We start from the raw sequence: 7,249 nt of genomic DNA on the forward strand, positions 1-7,249 counted from the left end.
GAACTGAGTGGCTGGAGGTAGGGGGAAAATGATTACTTTTTATGCTATGCCCTTTTAAACCTTTTGAATTTTGTATTGTTTACCAAAAAAATTAAATTAAAAATTACATAAGCATCTCTGCAAAAATTCTGGGGTCTGTACCTTTAGAGAAAAGATTATTATTTTGGTAAAGGAAGTCAGGTATAAAGGAAAAGTAAAAATAAAAGGGTAAAAATGCAAGTCAACAGACAGTTAAGAGTGATCAAATAGTGATGAGGGATAGCTTCTCTTTAAAGAATTGTTCCAGTTGATAAACAAATAAAGAATGATAAAATTAGTTTTTCAGCATTTGCAACTCCTAATGTATCTAGGCAATAGTCAACAATAGCTATTAACATCAAAAAGGACATTTATGTTTACATGGCCCCTGATGGAAGTACATACTGCCTGTGAAGGACTTATGCCAAAATAACTGATCCTGAATTGGATCAGCTTCTAGACCTATTTATTAATCAAAGAATGGACAAGGGTCAGAGGAACATGTTAAATAAAATTGCCTGTCCCTAGGCAATTGTCACAAATGCAGAAAAATATTTAAGCTTATGCATACACAAAATTAGAATAAGAAGAAGAAATTAACTATAAACACGGAGATTTTACATGATAAAATATAATTTTACACTAATTTAAAAACCTCAGTAAAATAGATGATTTTCTTGGAAAATAGAGATAACCAAAACTGACTCAAGAATTAGAAGAAAAACCAATTACTAACTCCAGAGAAAGGGTCTGGGTCAGATAGGGTACTAGTCCTGGGCCTTCTGCCCCTAGATCACTCTGTAACCTTCCCCTTCTAGGCATTATCCTCCTGAGGCTGGCCCTTGCAGGGCATGCTTCCGAGGCTCCAATGTCAGCTGGCTTCTGGTAGATTCAGGAATCGGGAGGTAACAGCAAGAGGCTGGAGACTAGGGGAGGGGATAAGCCAGGTTTTTAAGTTTTTGTTTGATTGTTTTTGTCCCATTCTACTCTGCCTCTGGTGGAGTCTCCCACACTGGTTACCTCTTTTCTTAGTTTCAGCTTCTTCTAGTCACATCAACATGGTTCCAGCTTCCACTTGATGACTTCAACCTTTCAACTGCAGTGATATCACCTCCTCCTTTTGTTCCCCGCTGGTTAGAAGTGGGAGGGCATCTGCTATTGCAAATTCCATTTGGTTGGCTTTTCAGCTCCTTCCATCATGTGTATAATTAATTCCCTGCATTAAATTCCTTCTGTATTCGTCCATTTTCATACTGCTATAAAAAACTGTTCAAGACTGGGTAGTTTATAAAAGAAAGAGGTTTAATTGACTCACAGTTCTGCATGGCTGGGAAGACCTCAGGAAACTTACAAACATGGCAGAAGATGAAGGGGAAGCAAGGCACCTTCTTCACAAGGCAGCAACAAGGAGAAGTATCAAGCGAAGGGGGAAGAGCCCCTTATTAAACCATCAGATCTCATGAGAACTCACTCACTGTCATGAGAACAGCATGGGGGAACCGTCCCCATGATTCAATTACCTCCACCTGGTCTCTCCCTTGACACATGGGGATTATGGGGATTACAATTCAAGATGAGATTTGGGTGGGGACACAAAGCCTAACCATATCACCTTCTTATTTAAATACTCGAGTGGTTTCTGTTTCCTTGATTGGACGCTGACTGGATAAAAATAGCTTTAAGGTTAAGTATTTCATTTGTTTTTTACCTTATCCCCCATGTAGAACTACGGGTTAAGTATTTCAAAATTGTCAAGAATATATAATTTCTAAAGTACAGATGTTTCAGAGCATATAAAGGAGACCCTCTGGTCTCTACGTATTTTACGAGATCAGCACATTCTTGATATAAAACCTATAAACATGGCAAAGAAAAATTACAAATGAAGCATAAGAAATGGTTTTCATTTGGTCACTTGATTTGTGACAAGGGTGCCATTGCAATTGAGTGCAAGAGGAGCCAGTCTTCTCATTGAACAGTATTGTGTCAATTGGAATCCATTAAAATAAAAAGAAGCATTAATCCTCTACTTCACATCACACCAAAATAAAAATTGTGATAGCTTACATATGAAAACTAAAACAATGAAACTTCTAGAAAAAAAAAATCTTCATTATTTTAGATAGGTTAAAACATTTTAAACAAGATATATAAAGTGCTAAAGAGAAAAGCGTAATAAATTGGATTTCATTAAGAACTATTCAACAAAGACAATAGAGTGAAACGGCAAGCCACAGACTGTGAGAAGATTTTTGGAAGATAGGTAATACATATGACAAGGGACTTAGTCAGAACTACAAATTTAAGGAATTCAATAAAAAGGGAGAAATACTGGAAATAGACACACAACAAAAGAGTGTTTTCAAATGACTCATAAGCATATGAAAAAGGAAGTTTATATCATTAGACATCAGAAAAATACAAATGAAAACCACAATGCGACACCACTACACTACAACCAAATGGTTAAATTAAAGGCACTAATTAAGATCAATTTTTGGTAAAGATGTGGTAGACAACTAGAATTCTCACACATTGCTGACAGGAATTTAAAATAGTTCAACCACTGTGGAAAACCTCAGTCATTTTTTAAAAATTTTTCACAGCTTTCAGTATAATTCATATACAATCAATTGCATATTCTTTTTTTTTTTTTCTTTTTTTGGGACAGAGTCTCACTCTGTTACCCAGGCTGGAGTGCAGTGGCACAATCTCAGCTCACTGCAAGCTCCATCACCCAGGTTCACGCCATTCTCCTGCCTCAGCCTCCTGAGTAGCTGGGACTACAGGTGCCCACGACCATGCCTGGCTAATTTTTTTTTTTTTTGTATTTTTCGTAGAGATGGGGTTTCACCGTGTTAGCCAGGATGGTCTTGATCTCCTGACCTTGTGATCCACCCGTCTCGGCCTCCCAAAGTGCTGGGATTACAGGCGTGAGCCACCATGCCCAGCCCAATTGCACATTCTTAATGTGTACAATTTGATATTTTTATTTTAACATATGTATATACCCATGAATCCATTACCATGCCAAAAAAAATGAACATGTCCACATTCCCAGAAGTTTCCTCATGCCTTTTGCAATTCTTCCCTTTCTCTCTAATCAATCCTCACTACACGCAGCCAACAACTGATCTGCTTTCTAGCACTATGAATTAGCTTGTATTGTCTAGAATTTTATATACATGAAATCACATAGTATGTATTCTTTGTGTCTAGCTTCTTTACCCAAAACAATTATTTTGAGATTCACCCATGTTGTGTGTATCAGAAGTCATTTTGTTTGCTTTGTTTTTTATTGAATGTTATTCTGTCGTATGGCTACACATCAATTTGTTTATCCATTTACCTGCTGGTGAACATTTGGGTTGTTTCTGGTTCTTTGCTGTTACAAATAAAGCTGCTATGAATATTAATTTGCAAGTCTTTGTGTGTGCAGACATACACTTTATTTTCTCTTGGGTAAATACCAGAAATGGAATGGCTAAGTCATAGTATGTGTATGTGTAATTTTTAAGGAAATATACAGCAATTTTAAATAAAGCTAAAGATACGTATTCCCTTTGATCAAGCAAGTCCCAAGAGAACTCTATTTCTCTGTGTATATTACTAACAGAAATAAATGCATATGTCGACCCAAAGATATGTGTAAAATATTCATATAAGCTTTATTAATAATAGCCCAAAATTGGACACATGTCCAAATGTTCATCAATGGTAGCCAGGAATTCCCTTCCCACTGTGGTGTCCTGAGTTGCCTCAGGCCAGCAGAGGTATTTTGTTGTTCATAAAATCTGTTATAATTACTGCATTACATACACTTTCAATTCCTTTGACTCTGTCTATTTTCACTGTCCTTTTCTGTCTAACCCTAACACTCATAAACCCAGATTTTGCATAGTCCCTGCCAACATCTGAATGTGACTGAAGAAAACTATGCAACTTTGTGATTGGTCTCTCTGTGGTCCTCAACCAGGAAAGGTTCAGTTCCCTGGGCAGTGTTTGGAAGTGGGGCAGAGAACATTTTGATCAGCACAATGATTGAGGGGTACTACCAAGGGCCAGGGATGCTAAATGCCAAGGAAGATGCCTGCCTGAAACACTGACAGCATCTCCACTGAAAAACATTGTTTGACCACAAACCTTAATGGTCACAGCTGCCTGAAATCATACTATGATTCCCTCATCAATTCCCTTTCCCACTCTCCTAGAAAAACTTTTATCTCTTCTCTCTTCAAACCTACAATGTCTTCTGCCTCCTCCTCATTTTTACCCATAAACCATTTTTATCTGTAAACCATACTTCTTATTCAATAGAAAAATAGAAAAGTTCAGAAGGAAACCTCCACATGCTCTTGATATCTACCAGTGTACCTACATCTATGCCCACACACTCAGTATCCCATCCTGTCACTATAGGTAAATTGTCCAGGCTAGTTTCTAAGTCCTCTATTTGTGTACTGGATTTTTCCCCCTTTTACCTACTTGATAACTTCCCTCTTACAATCATTGCATCATCGATTTTCCCCTCTGCTGTATTATTTCCATCAGGATATAGGCAATCCATACTATTTCATGACCACAAAATACTCTCCCATGACATCATATTTCCCTCTACATTTTAGAAGGTGGTAATTTACAGGGAGTCACGTGACCTAGCTCTGCCACCATCTCACCAATGACCTTGAGTTTGCACCTTTGAGTGCCTTTGTACATCTCAGTTTTCTCATGTTAAAATGAAGAGATGATACTAGTTATCTTGGAGGTCTATGACATATTGCTTCACAATGTGCATATGCGGCAACAGACACAGCCCATCTAGCCTGTGTTAGGAAGATGCCAAGCTAAGCACCATAGGGAGTGGAGGAATGGATAAGGCATGCAGTTTTCTGCCTGTGGAAACATAGGGGGACCCAAGACAGGAACACAAGCGACTCTTCTGCAAGGTTAAGGATAAGGGCCTAAAAATAGGGATTAAGTTCAGAGCAGAGCAGCAGAGGCAGATCAATGAGGTTAGAAGAACTGGGCAAAGCTTTATGGAAGGTAGTGCTTATAATGGGACTTTAAGGATACTCAAAGGAACAGTATAAATTCAAAGAGATGAAGCAGCTTTGGGTTAAATTCAGTTTTCTTTTGAGGTAAAATAAAGGAAAGTAGAGGGGGAGGGCAAGATGGCCAACTAGACACAGACAGGTGGAATCATTTCCACCAAGGGACTGAGACGACTAGCATGCTCCTAACAGATCTTCAAAGGGAAGACACTATGAATGAAGGGAAGACACAGAAGCTGGGCTGAAAGGGGAGAAAGCTGGAAACCCTACATGGGGATACAGCACACTTGGACTTGTTCCTGATTCCCAATGGCTTTAGGGGAACGAATGAGTTGAACTGACAAGGAGCAACCCACTCTCACCATGGGCCTCTGGAACCTTGGCAGGAAGAGACCTCTCAACCACCATGGACACTTGAATTGGCAGAGAGCTGCTTAGAGAAGTGGTAGGGACAGCCAGCTGAAGTGGAGCCTGGAGGGTTTGGTGTGGGCGTGTCTGTAGCAGAGCACAGTCAGGAACAGCTATCCCACTAGGCTTGACTTGTTCCTATAGGAGACTTTAGCCCTAGGGGAACTGTCGGTCCTGAATTCTGCAGGGCAATCTTGCCCATCAGATGGGGCCAGTGTGACCTGAGCAACCCTTGGTATGGTGGCCTCTCCTGGGGCCTCAGCCTGGCCACACCTGCTTACAGAATAGTCTCAGGTGCCCTGGGGGCCCACACCATGGTTTTTATGGTGGCAGACCATGCCTGACTGGCAGAGAGCTCCAACAGGGTGGCTCCTACTGCCACATACCAGCCCACATACTCCCTCCCCATACTGCGGCTTCCCCCCTAGGGCCCATGGCAATTCCCCAAATGTTTTGCTGGTGTGTGTTTGCATGAGTGGGTTTTGCTTTTATTGCCCTGCTAGCACATGAGAGTGCAGTCTGCCTCACCTCATTCTACTGACCACCATTGCAGATGGAGCCTTGGTGGGCACAGAGCCAGCCAGCCCCACCCCTTCCAGTGCCCCACCCTTGTGCTAATACTGTGCAGAGAACAGCAGATCCTCCCCCACCCTGAGCAACCACTCCTGCTTGCAGAGCACAAAGAAGGCACCTAGACCTGTGCCCACTAGTGTCCTGCTCCTGAGTCAACACCACCTCCAACATGACCATGCACACAGTCACCAGCAGGGGCCCCTCTGGCCGTCTTCCCCAACAGCTGCATTACCTCTATCACTGTGGTGAATGACCACAGGGAGGCAGGCACCCTGCTGCTGCTACCATTACTGCTGACATGTGTGAATGAGGATGGAGCCTGCTGTCACTGCACTATAAAATGCTTTGGATGACACCACCCATTGAAGTGTAGTGACCAGCAGTCTGGGAGCAACTTGGCCACCTCCAGCACAGTGGATTTTTAACCTTAAGGAGCCAGAGAACAAAGTCAAGGCCCCAATACAAGTTCCCCAGAGTTAGAGCACACAGGCCAGGAGGTGGGAGCTGAGCACTGACTCCCTAAAATCTTCCAGAAATGAAGCCAGTCAGCTGAATCCACCTTATATCACAATCACAATTTGATAACAATCAAGGTCATCAAATAGGATACCCGTTCAAATAAAATCAACCCATCCAAAGGTCAGCAACCTCAAAGACCGAAGTAAGATAAGCCCATAAAAATAAGAAAGAATTAGTGCAAGAACCCTGACAACTCAAAAAACCAGAGTGCCTTCTTTCTTTCAAATGATGATATCACCTCTCCAGCAAGGGTGCTGAACCAGGCTGAGATGGCTGAAATAACAGAAATAAAATTCAGAATATGGATAGGAACAAAGATCACTGAGCTACAGGAGTACATTAAAATCCAATCTAAGGAAGCTAAAAATCATAATAAAACAATGCAGGAACTAACAGACAAAATAGCCAGTATAGAAAATAATGTAACCAACCTGATAGAGCTTAAAAACACTCTACAAGAATTTCATAATGGAATCATAAGTATTAATAGCAGAATAGACCAAGCAAGGAAAGAATCTGCAGAGCTTGAAGACTGGCTTTCTGAAATAAGAGAGTCAGAGAAGAATGGAGAAAAAGTAATGAAAATCAATGAACAAAACCTCTTGAGAAATATGAGACTATATAAAGAGACCAAATCTATGACTCACTGGTGTTCCTGAAAGAGACGGGGAGAATTGAAC

The 7,249-nt window shown here is 40.9% G+C and overlaps 2 annotated features.

The window, feature by feature from the left end:
• Positions 1,553–2,752: an enhancer, noted in NCBI's record as "CDK7 strongly-dependent group 2 enhancer chr1:118380956-118382155 (GRCh37/hg19 assembly coordinates)". NCBI's record gives its function as "activates an origin of replication core promoter dependent on BRD2, BRD4, P300/CBP, MED14 and CDK7 cofactors, with strong dependence on CDK7, by STARR-seq in HCT116 cells {active_cell/tissue: HCT116}" and the evidence as "EXISTENCE:reporter gene assay evidence [ECO:0000049][PMID:35650434]".
• Positions 5,968–6,633: an enhancer, noted in NCBI's record as "NANOG-H3K4me1 hESC enhancer chr1:118385371-118386036 (GRCh37/hg19 assembly coordinates)". NCBI's record gives its function as "activates a minimal SCP1, AML or CMV promoter by ChIP-STARR-seq in primed H9 embryonic stem cells {active_cell/tissue: H9 hESC(primed)}" and the evidence as "EXISTENCE:reporter gene assay evidence [ECO:0000049][PMID:30033119]".

The sequence above is a fragment of the Homo sapiens genome, chromosome 1 (genome assembly GCF_000001405.40).
Source record: "Homo sapiens chromosome 1, GRCh38.p14 Primary Assembly".
Lineage (NCBI taxonomy): Eukaryota > Metazoa > Chordata > Mammalia > Primates > Hominidae > Homo > Homo sapiens.